The following is an 18597-nucleotide window of genomic DNA, read 5'->3' as shown; positions in this document are numbered from 1 at the left end:
ACAGCTGCAGATCTGAGAACCGACAGACTGCCTCCTCAAGTGGATCCCTGACCCCCGAGTAGCCTAACTGGGAGGCACCCCCCAGCAGGGGCAGACTGACACCTCACACAGCCCGGTACTCCTCTGAGACAAAGCTTCCAGAGGAACAATCAGGCAGCAACATTTGCTGTTCACCAATATCCACTGTTCTGCAGCCTCCGCTGCTGATACCCAGGCAAACAGGGTCTGGAGTGGACCTCCAGCAAACCAACAGACCTGCAGCTGAGGGTCCTGACTGTTAGAAGGAAAACTAACAAACAGAAAGAACATCCACACCAAAACCCCATCTGTACATCACCATCATCAAAGACCAAAGGTAGATAAAACCACAAAGATGGGGATAAAACACAACAGAAAAACTGGAAACTCTAAAAATCAGAGCACCTCTCCTCCTCCAAAGGAACGCAGCTCCTCACCAGCAATGGAACAAAGCTGGACGGACAATGACTTTGACGATTTGAGAGAAGAAGGCTTCAGACGATCAAACTACTCTGAGCTAAAGGAGGAAGTTCGAACCAATGGCACAGAAGTTACAAACCTTGAAAAAAAATTAGACGAATGACTAACTAGAATAATCAATGCAAAGAAGTCCTTAAAGGATCTGATGGAGCTGAAAACCAAGGCACAAGAACTACATCATGAATGCACAAGCCTCAGTAGCCGATTCAATCAATTGGAAGAAAGGGTATCAGTGATGGGAGATCAAATGAATGAAATGAAGCCAGAAGAGAAGTTTAGAGAAAAAAGAATAAAAAGAAATGAACAAAGCCTCCAAGAAATATGGGACTATGTGAAAAAACCAAATCTATGTCTCACTGGTGTATCTGAAAGTGACAGGGAGAATGGAAACAAGTTGGAAAACACTCTGCAGGATATTATACAGGAGAACTTCCCCAATCTAGCAAGGCAGGCCAACATTCAAATTCAGGAAATACAGAAAACGCAACAAAGATACTCCTCGAGAAGAGCAACATAATTGTTGCTCCAAGACACATAATTGTCACATTCACCAAAGTTGAAATGAAGGAAAAAATGTTAAGGGCAGCCAGAAAGAAAGGTCGGGTTACCCACAAAGTGAAGCCCATCAGACTAACAGCTGATCTCTCGGCAGAAATCAACAAGCCAGAAGAAAGTGGGGCCAATATTCAACGTTCTTAAAGAAAATAATTTTCAACCCAGAATTTCATATCCAGCCAAATTAAGCTTGACAAGTGAAGGAGAATAAAATCCTTTACAGACAAGCAAATGCTGAGAGATTTTGTCACCACCAGGCCTGCCCTAAAAGAGCTCCTGAAGGAAGCACTAAACATGGAAAGGAAAAACCAGTACTACACACTGCAAAAACATGCCAGACTGTAAACACCATCGATGCTAGGAAGAAAATCCATCAACTAACAAAATAATCAGCTAACATCATACTGACAGGATCAAATTCACACATAACAATATTAACCTTAAATGTAAATGGGCTAAATGCTCCACTTAAAAGACACAGACTGGCAAATCGGATAAAGAGTCAAGAACCATTAAGTGTGCTGTATTCAGGAAACCCATCTCATGTGCAGAGACACACATAGGCTCAAAATAAAGGGATGGAGGAAGATCTACCAAGCAAATGGAAAACAAAAAAAGGCAGGGGTTGCAATCCTAGTCTCTGATAAAACAGACCTTAAACCAACAAAGATCAAAAGAGACAAAGAAGGCCATTACATAATGGTAAAGGGATCAATTCAACGACAAGAGCTAACTATCCTAAATATATATGCACCCAATAAAGGAGCACCCAGATTCATAAAGCAAGTCCTTAGAGACCTACAAAGAGACTTAGACTCCCATACAATAATAATGGGAGATGTTAACACCCCACTGTCAACATCACACAGATCAACGAGACAGAAATTAACAAGGATATCCAGGAATTGAACTCAACTCTGCACCAAGCAGACCTAATAGACATCTACAGAACTCTCCACCCCAAATCAACAGAATATACATTCTTCTCAGCACCACGCCGCACTTATTCCAAAATTGATCACATAGTCGGAAGTAAAGCACTCCTCAGCAAATGTAAAAGAACAGTAATTATAACAAACTGTCTCTCAGACCACAGTGCAGTCAAACTAGAACTCAGGATTCAGAAACTCACTCAAAGCCACTCAACTACATGGAAACTGAACAACCTGCTCCTGAATGACTACTGGCTACATAACAAAATGAAGGCAGAAATAAAGATGTTCTTTGAAACCAATGAGAACAAAGACACAACATACCAGAATCTCTGGGACACATTCAAAGCAGTGTGTAGAGGGAAAATTATAGCGCTAAATGCCCACAAGAGAAAGCAGGAAAGATCTAAAATTGACACCCTAACATCACAATTAAAAGAACTAGAGAAGCAAGAGCAAACACATTCAAAAGCTAGCAGAAGGCAAGAAATAACTAAAATCAGAGCAGAACTGAAGGAAACAGAGACACAAAAAACCCTTCAAAAAATTAAAGAATCCAGGAGCTGGTGTTTTGAAAAGATCAACAAAATTGATAGACTGCTAGCAAGAGTAATAAAGAAGAAAAGAGAGAAGAATCAAATAGACGCAATAAAATATGATAAAGGGGATATCACCACCAATCCCACAGAAATACAAACTATCATCAGAGAATACTACAAACACCTCTGCGCAAATAAACTAGAAAATCTAGAAGAAATGGATAAATTCCTCGACACACCCTCCCAAGACTAACCCAGGAAGAAGTTGAATCTCTGAATAGACCAATAACAGGCTCTGAAATTGAGGCAATAATTAATAGCTTACCAACCAAAAAAAGTCCAGGACCAGATGGATTCACGGCCGAATTCTACCAGAGGTACAAGGAGGAGTTGGTACCATTCCTTCTGAAACTATTCCAATCAATAGAAAAAGAGGGAACCCTCCCTAACTCATTTTATGAGGCCAGCATCATCCTGATACCAAAGTCTGGCAGAGACACAATACAAAAAGACAATTTTAGACCAATATCCCTGATGAACATCTATGCAAAAATCCTCAATAAAATACTGGCAAACCGAATCCAGCAGCACATCAAAAAGCTTATCCACCAAGATGAAGTTGGCTTCATCCCTGGGATGCAAGGCTGGTTCAACATACGCAAATCAATAAACGTAATCCATCACGTAAACAGAACCAACGACAAAAACCATATGATTATCTCAATAGATGCAGAAAAGGCCTTTGACAAAATTCAACAACGCTTCATGCTAAAAACTCTCAATAAATTATGTATCGATGGGACATATCTCAAAATAATAAGAGCTATCTATGACAAACCCACAGCCAACATCATATTGAATGGGCAAAAACTGGAAGCATTCCCTTTGAAAACTGGCACAAGACAGGGATGCCCTCTCTCACCACTCCTATTCAACATAGTGTTGGAAGTTCTGGCCAGGGCAATCAGGCAGGAGAAGGAAATAAAGGGTATTCAATTAGGAAAAGGGGAAGTCAAATTGTCCCTGTTTGCAGATGACATGATTGTATATCTAGAAAACCCCATCGTCTCACCCAAAATCTCCTTAAGCTGATAGGCAACTTCAGCAAAGTCTCAGGATACAAAATCAATGTGCAAAAATCACAAGCATTCCTATACACCAATAACAAACAGAGAGCCAAATCATGAGTGAACTCCCATTCACAATTGCTTCAAAGGAATAAAATACCTAGGAATCCAACTTACAAGGGATGTGAAGGAGCTCTTCAAGGAGAACTACAAACCACTGCTCAGTGAAATAAAAGAGGATACAAACAAATGGAAGAACATTCCATGCTCATGGGTAGGAAGAATCAATATCATGAAAATGGCCATACTGCCCAAGGTAATTTATAGATTCAATGCCATTCCCATCAAGCTACTGATGACTTTCTTCACAGAATTGGAAAAAACTACTTTAAAGTTCATATGGAACCAAAAAAGAGCCCGCATTGCCAAGTCAATCCTAAGCAAAAAGAACAAAGCTGGAGGCATCAGGCTACCTGACTTCAAAGTATACTACAAGGCTACAGTAAGCAAAACAGCATGGTACTGGTACCAAAACAGAGATGTAGATCAATGGAACAGAACAGAGCCCTCAGAAATAATGCCACATATCTACAATCATCTGATCTTTGACAAACCTGACAAAAACAAGAAATGGGGAAACGATTCCCTATTTAATAAATGGTGCTGAGAAAACTGGCTAGCCATATGTAGAAAGCTGAAACTGGATCCCTTCCTTACACCTTATACAAAAATTAATTCAAGATGATTAAAGACTTAAATGTTAGACCTAAAACCATAAAAACCCTAGAAGAAAACCTAGGCAATACCATTCAGGACACAGGCATGGGCAAGGACTTCACGTCTAAAACACCAAAAGCAATGGCAACAAAAGCCAAAATGGACAAATGGGATGTAATTAAACTAAAGAGCTTCTGCACAGCAAAAGAAACCACCATCAGAGTGAACAGGCATCCTACAGAATGGGAGAAAATTTTTGCAATTTACTCATCGGACAAAGGGCTAATATCCAGAATCTACAATGAACTCAGACAAATTTACAAGAAAATAACAAACAACTCCATCAAAAAGTGGGCAAAGGATATGAACAGACACTTATCAAAAGAAGACATTTATGCAGCCAAAAGACACATGAAAACATACTCATCATCACTGGCCATCAGAGAAATGCAAATCAAAACCACAATGAGATACCATCTCATACCAGTTAGAATGGCACTCATTAAAAAGTCAGGAAACAACAGGTGCTGGAGAGGATGTGGAGAAACAGGAACACTTTTACACTGTTGGTGGGACTATAAACTAGTTCAACCACTGTAGAAGTCAGTGTGGCGATTCCTCAGGGATCTAGAACTAGAAATACCATTTGACCCAGCCATCCCATTACTGGGTATATACTCAAAGGATTATAAATCATGCTGCTATAAAGACACATGCCCATGTATGTTTATTGAGGCACTATTCACAACAGCAAAGACTTGGAACCAACCCAAATGTCCAACAATTATAGACTGGATTAAGAAAATGTGGCACATATACACGATGGAATACTATGCAGCCATAAAAAATGATGAGTTAATGTCCTTTGTAGGGACATGGATGAAGTTGGAAACCATCATACTCAGCAAACTATCGCAAGGACAAAAAACCAAACACTGCATGTTCTCACTCATAGGTGGGAATTGAACAATGAGAACACATGGACATACGACGCGGAACATCACACACCGGGGCCTGTTGTGGGGTGGGGGCCTGTTGTGGGGTGGGGGCCTGTTGTGGGGTTGGGGGAGGGGGGAGGGATAGCATTTGGAGATATACCTAATGTTAAATGACGAGTTAATGGGTGCAGCACACCAACATGGCACATGTATACATATGTAACAAACCTGCACGTTGTGCACGTGTACCCTAAAACTTAAAGTATAATAAAAAAAGTAATCTTTGAAGCTTTTAGATTTCCAATAAAAAGAAAAAAGGATTTATACTTCTGATAAAGGCTGACTAGATAAAAACATTGAGGATGGGGGAGGACAAGAAATACTAGCAATAACATAAAAAAGAGAAAAATTTTAACCAGACTCAAAGCATTTAGTCAGATTGAGAAAGACAGGTGGCCATGCAAAAGATGTAAAACCTGGCAGAGGCAGATGAAGAATAAAGAGAACTGAAAATTGTCATGTAAGGATGGGAGACTGTTACCAAGCTCAACGCTTAAAACCAGTAACAGAGTGAATCCCCAATTTTGAAGGAGGCAGAAAAAACTTACTGCCAACCACTGCCTAGAATTTAACATGAAGTTATGTATAAAGGGTGTCAGAAGTAAACAAACCTCATGAAAAACGAAATAAGCAATGCTTTGCTATCACCCAATACAGCAATGCAAGAGCCTTGAACTGTCAAGGTAAAACTGGATTCTAGACCATAGACCAGAGGAAGTAACTATAACACTAACAATGAGCAGAGGAAGGGCTTGAGTAAGACAAGAAGAAGATGGTGAAATAGAGAGATAATGACCTTTCTGTTAAAAATAACCTTACAAACCACCATTCTAAAGCACACGAAGAAATCTAATGCTAAGACAGCTAAGGAAATCAACAAAATTAAGTCACAATAAAATTAATCTTCTAGAACAGCCTTAAACAATCTTACAACAATTGTGTTTAGGATTCTCAGAGATACTTGAATAATATCTATGCAAACAAACACAAAATATAAAGTAAGTGGGGAAATTACCTCCACCCCACATTATGATTTATTTTAGAACCATAATAATTTAAACAAGCCAATGGAACAGAGGAGAGCCCAGAAACAGATCGTGATATATATGGATACATGGAATATGACACAGGTAGCATTATAAATCAGAGGGGAAGAGAAACAATTCAAATGGTACAGGAAGAACCAGTTAGACATATAAAGTGCCATACCTTACACTATACAGGAAAACAAACCCCACTGATTAAAAGATATAAATTAAAAAATAAAGGTTTAAAATTACTACAAGAAACCATAGGAAATTTTATTATGACCACAGGTCAGTTGAAAATTTCACATGAAACAAAAAAGCAAAAAATACAAAAGCAAGAAAAATACAAAAACCAGAAAAACCCAACTTCATTAAGACAAAAATAAGCTATTCTACACAAAAGACACACTAAAGAAAGTTAAAGGAAAATCCAAAGAGTGACAGAATATATTTGCAATACACCTAACATGCAACAAAATTAAGTATTCTGAATAATGACCCCTGCAGTAAGAAAAAGACAAAATAAAAGAAACATTAATGTTATATATAATTTATATGATATAGATAATATACAATATAATACACAAGTATATATTTACACATTATTAATTATAATATGATACATTATTAAGAAAACTAAAAAAACTTGAACAGGCAATTTTTTTAAAATGAAAACTACTTTTTTTTTTTTTTGAGATGGAGTTTCGCTCTTGTTGCCCAGGATGGAGCACAGGGGCGCCATCTCGGCTCACCACAACCTCCACCTCCCGGGTTCAAGCGATTCTCCTGCCTCAGCCTCCCGGAAAACCACTTTTTATGATAAAAATGTAAGTAAAAATGATGATGAGCTAACATTTCAAAACCACTCAACTGGCAAAATTCAAGTATGAAACTATCAAGTATTGATTTCACTATAGACAAACAGAAATTCTCTTACAGTGTAACCTAAAAAAACAATTTTATATTAAGGGGAAAATCAATGTACATAAACTTCAACTCAACAATCCACTTTAGAACTCTAAAATCTATACACAAGGAGAAATAAAAAAAATTCATAGTAGGATCATTATTTAATATTCATTAAACACTATACTATACAGCAGTTAACATTTATAAACTAGAGTAAAATATCAACATGGATAGCATGCCAACCAGGGCCTAGGTATCAACCTGCTCTGTCCACATCCACCACAACCACATTCAATTTTGGGGAGGTGGGAGTAAGGACAGGACTAGCCCACCCAAACTGCCACCACAGCCACAGGTGTCATCTGGAGGCCTGGGAATTGATCTGCCCCAACCTGCTGTCATTGATAATCAGACACACCATGATGGGGGCCTGACAACAAGACCACCCCACCTGCCACCACCACTTGCACACACCATCCAGGAATCAAAGGACAGGCACACCCAACCCACCGCTACTGCCATCAAAACACACCATCTGGGGCCTGGGGATCAACCCATCCAACCTGTGGGGACAGACCAGCCGTGCCCACCAACATTGCCTACGCCCATTCTCCAGAGCCCTGGAGACTGACTCACCACATCTGGCACCTGATATCTGGGAGCCTGGAGATTGATCCTACCGGCCTGCCACTGCCAGAACCCATACACACCTTCCAGCAGCCTGAGGATGAATCTGCCCAGACAGCCACCTTTACCATGTGCACTATCTGCGGGCCTAGACAGACACCCACCATGGCCACTGCTGGCACCAGCATGCATCTCCCAGGGGCCTATATACCAACTTGCTCAGTTTGCCACTATCACCAGCACTCACCTATGCATACCACCTAGGGGACTGGGGACCGGCACACCCAGCCCAACACCACTGCTGGCCTGCCACTGGAGACCCAATGGTTGGCCTGCCACCGCTATTGCTACCACCAATGCCATCACACTACCCAAGACTCTGAGGACCCACCAGACTCACCATACCACTTCTACCTCTGGCACCCAGAAAAGCTGCCTGGACAACCAAAGTTTGGCCCATCTAGACCCATCACCACAATCACCTGCATATGCCACACAGGGCACCAAGGACTGTCATGCGCAGCCCATCACTGCCACCAGTGGTGCCTGAGAACTAGTCTGCCTGTCTTCCTCCTCCCAAGAAAAAGCCACACCAAAGCCTTTACCTAAGAACCACAGCCTAAGCCACTGGGGAAATCACAGACAAGACTAATCCTGATTCCAGCCAAAGAAATCATGCAGACTATACTACTTCACCCACCAAGAATCAAAGACAAAGCACCCTACAAAAGCAACATAATAGATGCATCTATAAGAAAAAAAGTCTTTCCCAACAAAAGACAATCCGCAAAACTAGAAGAAGTGAACGGTACACTAGATGCACAAATATCAACATAAAGACACAAGAAACATAAAAAAGCAAGGAAACATGACACCTCCAAAGCAACACACTAATTCTCTAGTAACAGATCCAAAGAAAAAGGAAAAAGAATTTGAAATGATAACGAAGAGCCTCAGTGAGAAACAGGAGAAAACACATAAATAATACAAGGTTATAAAAAAAAATTCATGAATCAGAAATTCAAAAGAGATAGATGTCATTAAAAAAACAACCAAACAAAATCCCATAACTGAAAAACTCAATGAATAAAATAAAAAATACAACTGAGCACTTCAACAATAGATCAAGCAACAGAAAGAATTTCTAAACTTGAAGACAAGTCTTTTAAGATAACTTTTTTCTTTTTTAAATATCTAACTAGATTTTAGAAAATTCAGAAAATTTTAGAAAATCCAGAAGGAAATGAGATGGGTAAAGGCATAGAAAACCTAATTAATGAAATAATAGCTAAAAACTTCCAACTCCTGCAAGAGCCATACAAATTTCAATACAGGAAGCTCAAGAACCCCAAACGGATTCTACCAGAAAAAGTCCTCCAAGGTACATTATACTCAAGCTATCAAAATCAACGACACAGAGAGAATTCTAAAAATAGCGAGAGAAAAGTGTCAACACACATATAAAGAAATCCCCACTAGACTAAAATCACAATTCTAAGCAGAAACCTTAAGACCAGGAGAGAATGAGATAATATATTCAAAATATTAAAAGAAAAAAACTGCCCACCAAGAAAACTATTTCCAGCAAAGTGCTATTCAAAAATGAAAGAGCAGGCCAGGCACGGGGACCCAAGCTTGTAATCTCAGCACTTTGGGAGGCCGAGGCAGGCAGATCACATGAAGTCGGGAGTTCGAGACCAGCCTGACCAACAGGGAGAAAACCTGTCTCTACTAAAAGTACAAAAAGCCAGGTGTGGTGGCACGTTCCTGTAATCCCAGTTACTCGGGAGGCTGAGGCAAGAGAATCACTTGAACCTGGGAGGCGGAGGTTGCAGTGAGCTGAGATCGCGCCATTGCACTCCAACCTGGGCAACCAGCGTGAAACTCCTTTTAAAAAAAAAAATGAAAGAACAGTAACATCTTTCTAAGAGAAGGAAAAACTGAGGGAATTCATTACCACTAAACCACCCTAAAAGAAAAGCTTAGGGGAGTCCTACATCTAGAAGTGAAAGAATAATATCCACCATCATGAAAACACATGAAAGTATAAAACTCACTGGTAGAGCAGATACACAAAAGAGAAAGAGAAAGGAACCAAACATTACAAATACAGAAAAACACGAAACCACAAAAATAAACAATGAAAAAGGAACAAAGGATATATAAAACAACCAGAAAACAATAAAATGACAGAAATAAGTCCTCACCTATAAATAATAACCTTGAATGTAAATAGATTAAATTCCCCTGATAAAAGATATAGACTGGCTTAATGAATTTTTAAAAAGAAAAAGACCAAACTGTATGCTGCCTATAAATAACTCACTTTAACTGTAAATACACATAGACTAGAAGTACAGGAATGGAAAAAGATATTGCATATAAACAAAAAACAAAAGCAAACAGAAGTAGCTACACCTAGATGAGATAAAACAGACTTTAAATGAAAAACTGTAAAAAAAAAAAAAAAGACAAAGTCATTAATTATAAAAGGATCAATTCAGCAAGAAGATATAACAATTCTAAATATATATGCACCTAATACCAGAATGCTCAGATATACAAAGCAGATATTATTAGATCTAAAGGGAGAGATAGCTCCAATACAATAATAGTGGGGCATTTGAATACCCCACTCTCAGCATGGGACATATCATCCACATGGAAAATCAACCAAAAAAATCAGATGTAAACTGCACTATAAGCCAAACAGACTTAACAGATATTTACAGAACATTTCATCCAACAGCTGTAAAATACACATTCGACTCATCAGCACATAAAACATTCTCCAGTGTAAATCATATATTAGGCCACAAAGTAAGTCTCAGCAAATTTTTAAAAATCAAAATCATGTCAAATATGTTCTCAGACCACAAGAATAAAACTGGAAATCAGTAACAAGAGGAACATTGGAAACTGTACAAATAGAGACAAATCAAACAACATGCTCCTGAATGATCAATGACTCCATTAATAAAGTAATTTAAAACATTAAAAAATTTCATTAAACAAAAATAGAAATACAACATACGAAAACTCATGAGATACAAGAAAAGCGATACTAAGAGGAAAGTTTATAGCAATAAATGCCTACAACAAAAAAGTAGAAAGATTTCAAAAAAACCACCTAATGATGACTCTCAAGAAACCAGAAGAGGAAAAACCAACACAAAGCTAGCACAAGGAAACAATAAAGATCAGAGCAGAAATAACTAGAGACTAAACAATATACATGATCAATGAAACAAAAAGTTAGCTTTTTGAAAAGATAAAATCAACAAACTTTTAGCTAGACTAACCATGTTAAAAGGAGCAAAGACCCAAATGAACAAAATCACAAACAAAATGGCGACATTACAACTGATACTACAAAATGACAAAGGGTCACTAGAGACTATAATAAACAACCGTATACTAACAAACTTAAAAACCTAAAGGAAATGAAATTCCTGAACACATACAACCTATTAAGACTGAACCAGAAAGAAACAGAAAACCTGAACAGACCAATTGATATAGCTTGGGAATTTGGCCCCTCAATGTAACCCCCAGTGTTGGAGGTGAGGCCTGGTGAGAGGTGACTGGATCATGGGGAAAAACTGCCCATTAATGGTTTGGAACTGTACCCTTGGAATTATCCTTACAATAGTGAGTTCTTGCAAGATCTGAGTTTTTAAAAGTGTGTGGTACCTCCCCAGCACTCTCTCTTGCTCCTGCTCTCACCATGTGACATGCCTGTTCCTGCTTCACCTTCTGCTATGAGTAAAAGCTCCCTGAGACCTCCCCAGAAGCTAGGCAGATGCCGGCTACATGACTATACAGCCTGCAGAACTGTGAGCAAATTAAATCTCTTTTCATTATAAATTACCTAGTCTCAGGTATTCCTTTATAACATCGCAAGAATAGTATAGCACATCAATAATGTGTAACAAGATTCAATGAGTAGTAAAAACTCTCCCTAAAAAGAAAAGCCCAGGATGAAATGGCTTTACTGCTAAATTTATCAAGCTTACAAGGAAGAACCAATTCTTAAACTATTCCAAAAAAATGATGAGAAGGGAAGCTTACTAACTCGTTCTACAAGGCCAGGATTACTCTAACACCAAAAACAGACAAGGACACAACAACAATTAAAAAACTGCAGGCCAGGAGTGGTGGCTCACACCTATAATCCCAGCACTTTGGGAAGCAGAGGCAGGCTGATCATTTGAGGTCAGGAGTTCGAGACCAGCCTGACCAACATGGTGAAACCCTGTTTCTACCAAAAAATACAAAAATTAGCCAGGTGTGGTGGCACACACCTGTAGTCCCAGCTACTCAGGAGATTGAGGCAGGAGAATTGTGTGAACCTGGGAGGCAGATGTTGCAGTGAGCTGAGATTGCACCACTGCACTCCAGCCTGAGCAACAAGATTGTCTCAAAAACAAACAAACAATAACAACAAAATACCTGCAAGCCATTATCCATGATGAACATAGATTTAAAATTCTCAACAAAATACAAACCAACTGAACCCAACAACAAATAAGCATCATAATATACTATAATCAGGTAGAATTTTTTTTTTTTTTTGAGACGGAGTCTCACTGTCTCACCCAGGCTGGAGTGCAGTGGTGCGATCTCGGCTCACTGCAAGCTCTGCCTCCCGGTTTCACGCCATTCTCCTAATCAGGTAGGATTTACTTAAGGGATGAAAGGACGATTCAACATACACAAATCAATAAACGTGATACAACACATTAACAGAATCAAGACAAAAACCATATGATCATCTAATTGGTGCTAAAAATGCATTTGATAAAATCCAACATACCTTCATGATAAAACCTCCCAACATATTAGGGATAGAAGGAACACACCTCAACATAATAAAGGCCATATATGACAAACCCACAGCTACTATCATACTGAAATGAGAAAAACTGAAAGGCTTTCAAGGATGCCCATTTTCACCATTCTTACTCAACACAGTACAGAAGGTCCCAGCCAGAGCTATCAGGCAAAATAAAGACAGCTGGGCATGGTGGTTCACACCTGTAATCCCAGTACTTTGGGAGGCCAAGGTGGGAGGACTTGAGCCCAGTAGTTTGAGGCCAGCCTGGGCAATATAGGGAGACTCTATCTCTACAAAAAATAAAAAAATTAGCCAGGCCTGGTGGCACACACCTGTGGTCCCAGCTACTTGGGAGCCTCAGAACGGAGGATCACTTGAGTCAGGGAGGTTGAGGCTGCAGTGGGCCCTGATCGCACCACTGCACTCCAGCATGGGGAAACAGAGTGAAACTTTATGACCAAAAAAAAAGAAGAAAGAAAGAAACAAAAAATAAAAGAAAGAAAAGAAAGTCCTGGGTTTCCACACCAAAAAAAAAAAAAAAAAAAAGGAAAGAAAATCCAAATGGAAAGGAGGAAGTTAAACTGCTCTGCTTTGCAGACAACATGATCTTATATACAGAAAAACCTAGACTGCCAGAAAGCTCTTAAATCTGATAAATTCAGTGCAGGATACAAAATCAACATAGAAAAATCAGCAGTATCTCCACACACCAAAAATGGTCAGAAAAAGAACTCAAGAAAGCAATGCCATTTACAATAGCTACAAAAAAATTAAATATCTAAGAATAAATTTAACAGAAAAGGTAAAAAATAACTCTACAATAAAAACTACGAAACACTCATTAAAGAAACAGAAAAGGATACAAATGAAAAGACATCCTATGTTCATAGATTAGAGGAATTAATATTGTTAAAAATGGCCATACTGCCCAAAGCAATCTACAGGTTCAATGCAATCCCTATTGAAATACCAGTGACATTCTTCATTGAAATAGAAAAGACAGCCCTAAAATTAATCTGGAACTACAAAAGACTCTGAATAGCCAAAGCACTGGGTGAGACCCAGTGCTGTGCTAGCATCAGGTGTGACCCAGAGCATTCCCAGCTGTGATGGCCACAGGGAGAGGCTCCTCCTGCTTGACAGAAGGAGAGGAAGGGTAAAGAGGACTTTGTCTTGCTGCCTGGGTACCCTGAGCAAAAAGAACAAACCTACAGGCATCACACTGTCTTTGAAATATACTACAAAGCTATCATTACCAAAATAGCACAATATTGGTATAAAAACAGACATACAGGCCAATGAAACAGAAAAGAGAACCCAGAAATAAATCCATGTATTTACAGCCACCTGATTTTTGACAAAGGAACCAAGAACACACACTGGGGAAAGGACATCTTCTAAAATAAATGGTGCAGTGAAACTGAATATCCACATGCACAACAATGAAACTGGAACCCTATCTCCCAACTCATACAAAAATCAACTCAAAATGGATTAAAGACTTAACCTTAAGACCTGAAACTATAAAACTATTAAAACTAAAAGAAAACAGGAGAAACACCTCAGAACACTCATCTAGGCAAAGATTTTACGGTTATGACCTCAAAACCCCAAACAATAAAAACAGAAATACACGAATGGTATTATGTTAAACCACCCAGCCAGGGGAGTGCCTATACCACCTCGGCCCCGCACCCCTGGCTCCACCTGCCAAACAAGCTCCCAGGAGACATTCCTGCCTTAAGCTTGAGGAGTGGGAGAGGAGAGGGAAAACTAAAGAGCTCTTTGTCATGCAACTTGGATGCCCTCAACCACAGTAGCATAGGGCATCAGGAAGAGTTCGAGGCCTCCATTCCAGGCCCTAGCTGCCAGATAACATTGCTAGACCATCCTGGGCCAGAAGAAAACCCACTACCTTTAAGGGAAGGAACCAGTCTTGGCAGGATTCATAACGCGCTGACTAAGGAGCCCTTGGGCAGTGGATAAACACCAGCAGTAATCAGGTAGTACTCACCGTGGGTCTAGGGGTGAGACCCAGTGCTGTGCTGGCATCAGGTGTGACCCAGCGTATTCCCAGCTGTGGTGGCCACAAGGAGAGGCTCCTCCTGCTTGATGGAAGGAGAGGAAGGATAAAGGGGACTTTGTCTTGCTGCCTGGGTACACCAGCTCAACCACAAAATCGCAGAGCACCAAGAAGGCTGCTAGGGTCCCCAGTTCCAGACCCTGGCTTCTGGATGGCATTTCTGGGTCTGTCCTGGGCCAGAGGGGAGCCCACTGCCCTAAAGGGACAGACCCAGGCCTGGAAGCAATCACCACAAGCTGACTGACAAACCTTTGGCCCCTGAATGAACATCACTGGTAGCCATGCAGTATTCACTGCAGACCTGGGGTGATGATGGCCACAATGAGAGTCTCCTGCTTCTGAAAAGGAGAGGAAACAGTGGGAAGAACTTTGTCTTGTGGCTTGGGTGCCAGCTCAGCTGCAGTAGAACAGAACACCAAGCAGATTTCTAAGATTCCCAGACTCTAGGCTCTGGCTCCTAGATGACATTTCTAGACCCACCCTGGGCTACAGGAGAACTTGCCACTCTGAAGGGAAAGACACAAGCATGGCTGGATTTTCCACTTGCTGCCAAAAGAGCCTGTGCCTTAAATGAACAACAACAGTAGCCACACAGTGGTCACTGTAGGCCTTAGACAAGACCCAGTGATATGCTGGCTTCAGGTCTGACCCAACGAGTCATAGTGGTGGTGGCCACATGGATGCTTGTGTCACCTTTTTCCCCGCCTGAAGCAGTTCAGCATGGAGCTCAGTAATCCAGGGTATTCTCTGCCTGGTAATCCAGGAAATTCTCTTGGACCTTACTGAAGACCACAAAGGCAATACTTCTGCAAGTCTATAAGAGTCACAGCATTACTAGGCTTCAGGTGCCCCCAGTGCGATACAGCTGCAGCAACCAAAGACTTAGATCACAACACTCACTTCCCTTTAGACACTTGGAAAGTCTTCCCAAGAAGGACGGATACAAACAAGCCCAGACTGTGAAAACTACAATAAACACCTAACTCTTCAATGCCCAAAAACCAACAAACATCCACAGGCATCAAGGCCATACAGCAAAACATGACCTCACCAAACAAACCAAATGAAGCACCAATGACCAATCCTGAAGAGACAGAGATATGAGACCTTTCAGACAGAGAACCTAAAATACTTATTTTTAAGCTCAACGAACTTCAAGATAACAGAGAGAAGGAAGTCAGAATCCTATCAGATAAATTTAACAAAGATTAAAATAATTTTTGGAAATCAAGCAGAAATTCTGGAGCTGAAAAATTCAATTGACATACTGAAGAATGCATCAGAACCTCTCAATGGCAAAATTAATCAAGCAGAAGAAAGAATTAGTGAGACTGAAAACAGGCTATTTGAAAATACATACAGGAGACAAAAGAAAAAAGAATAATGGAAGACTGAAGCACAGCCACAAGATCTCGAAATAATACTCAATGACGTAACAGTTTGAACAATAAATACAGTATGCAGAATGAGAAAACTAAGAAATAAAATTCGAGAAAAGAAGGTAATGTAGACAGTGGAGAGGAAACCTATAGATAATATATGTCTCTGAAGGGGAGTATCAGAAAAACAAAAAACAAAGAGAAAAAAATTAACTTTTACTACTTATTTACTTCTGTACCATTTGAATTATTTTGCAACAAGCATTACTTTCATGGCAGCCATAAGCAGTCAAATACTTAATCTCAAGCAGTTGTAGTTAATTTCAATAAGTATGAAATTGGAACTGTTCTAGAAAACTCAGGATATAATTCCCAAAGTATGTACTATAATACAAAGAAAGAATTAAAGTTTTCACAGAAAAATTTCATGCATCCATTCCAAAACACTTCAAAATATTTAACTGACTGGATAGAAAATTTCTTAGTACTTTAGGATGTTAATAACCTACTAACAGGATATAACAGATCACATATTTTAAGATAATCGAAGAACTAAAAAAAATTTCATGGGGCCAGGTGCTTTGGCTGACGTCTGTAATCCCAGCACTTTGGGAGGCTAAGGCAGGAGGACTGCTTAAGCCCAGGATTTCAAGACAAGCCTAGGGAACCCAATGAGAATTAGTCTCTACCAAAAAATTAAAAATTAAAAAAATCAGCTGGGCATGGTGGTGCATGTCTATAGCCCTAGCTACTTGGGATGCCGTGGCGGGGGGAATCACTTGAGCCCAGCAGTTTGAGGCTGCAGAGATCTGTGACTGTGCCACCACACTCCTGCCTGAGTGGACAGAGCAAGATCTTGTCTAAAATTGTTTTTAAAAACTTTAAAACTTTTTTCAAAAATTTAATTAAAACAATTAAAAATTCATGGAAAAAGGAGCAAGAGAATTTTTTTCAAATGTATTTAGAATTTTTAAAAGTAAACTATATGCGCTCTAAAGTTTTCTGCCAATACTCTTCCAATTTCCTTCTCAAGTTCAACACACTGAATATAACAACCTCTCTTAGGCCATTCTGAATATAATTTCCAAGAATCATAACCCTGAATGGTAATGATAATTTACTCAGTAATAGTAGATCATGCTGTCATTCTCAGATCAACCTACTGTGAAATCTAGACATGTAAATATCTGTGTATACAGATGCATACATACACAAATTATTAGAAAATGTATGTGCACATATATATACACACACCCTAATAACTTATTAGATAACTACATACTCTAATAATTGACAAACGTCATTATTAACTTGTTCTTTTGTCTCTCAATCACAAAATGACTCCTTTTCTTTTGAGACATGCTCTTGTTCTGTCACCCAGGCTGGCAGTGGTGTGATCACAGCTCACAGCAGTATCAACCTTCCTGGCTCAATCCATCTGCCTGCCTCAGCCTTCAGAGTAGCTAGGACTAAAGGCTTGTGCCACCAAGTCCAGCTAATTTTTGTACTGTTTTGTAGAGATGGGGTTTGACCATGTTGCCCCAGCAGGTTTCTAACTCCTGGGCTCAGGCAATCCGCCCACCTCAGGCTCCCAATGTGCAGGGATTACAGGAGTGAGCCACCATACCCAGCCTGACTCCATTTATTTAAGGGCTCAAATTATGTAGGTATTATGTTATCAAATTTTAGCAATTACCAACATGCAAATTCCTATAACAATCTAGAAAAATATATATAATTTTTAAATTATTTTATGCTTTTACTTTTAATAGAATTAAATGTCACTTTTAAATGATCATATACTTTAAAATAAGAGTAGGCAAACTTTCTGTAAAGGGCCAGACAATAAATATTTTAGGCTTGCAAGCCATTTAGGCTTTATCAAAATAATATGGTTTGGCTCTGTGTACCAACCCAAATTTCATCTAGAATTGTAGTTCCCACAAATCAAATGAGGGACCTGGTGGGAGGTGACTGGATCACAGGGATGGTTTCCCCCATGCTGTTCTCGTGATAGTGAGTGAGTTCTCATGAGATTTAATGGCCTTTAAAGTGTGGCATTCCCCCCACCCCTGCTGCCACCTAAGATGTGCCCTGCTTTCCCTTCGCCTTCTGCCATAATTGTAAGTTTTCTGAGGCCTCCCCAGCAATGCAGAACTGTGAGTCAATTAAACCTTTTCTTTATAAATTACCCAGTCTGAGGTAGTTCTCTATAGCAGTGTGAAAACGGCCTAATATGTGCAACTTCTCAATTCTGCCATTGGAGCATGAAAGCAACCAAACACAATATTTATACAAGTAAGAGTGGATGTGTTCCAAAAAACTTGTATTTACAAAAACAGGCAGTGAGCCCATGGGGCATAGTTTGATTACCCCTACTCTAAATCATCTGTCTTTATTAAAAATTTACAGAATAAACTACACAACT

General features: G+C 39.6%; 1 protein-coding gene across 5 annotated transcripts in view, besides 1 other annotated feature; it reads right to left on the bottom strand.

The window, feature by feature from the left end:
- The window catches only part of VPS13B (vacuolar protein sorting 13 homolog B), an 864307-nt gene that overhangs the window by 790628 nt on the left and 55082 nt on the right, over nucleotides 1–18597 (bottom strand). The window lies entirely within an intron of this gene.
- Nucleotides 6083–6142: an enhancer, noted in NCBI's record as "active region_27683". NCBI's record gives its function as "activates an Ori minimal core promoter by ATAC-STARR-seq in GM12878 lymphoblastoid cells {active_cell/tissue: GM12878}" and the evidence as "EXISTENCE:reporter gene assay evidence [ECO:0000049][PMID:35858748]".

Source organism: Homo sapiens, chromosome 8 (assembly GCF_000001405.40).
Source record: "Homo sapiens chromosome 8, GRCh38.p14 Primary Assembly".
Lineage (NCBI taxonomy): Eukaryota > Metazoa > Chordata > Mammalia > Primates > Hominidae > Homo > Homo sapiens.
The sequence above is the reverse complement of the archived record's forward strand: the minus strand, read 5'-3'. Positions and strand labels throughout refer to the sequence as shown.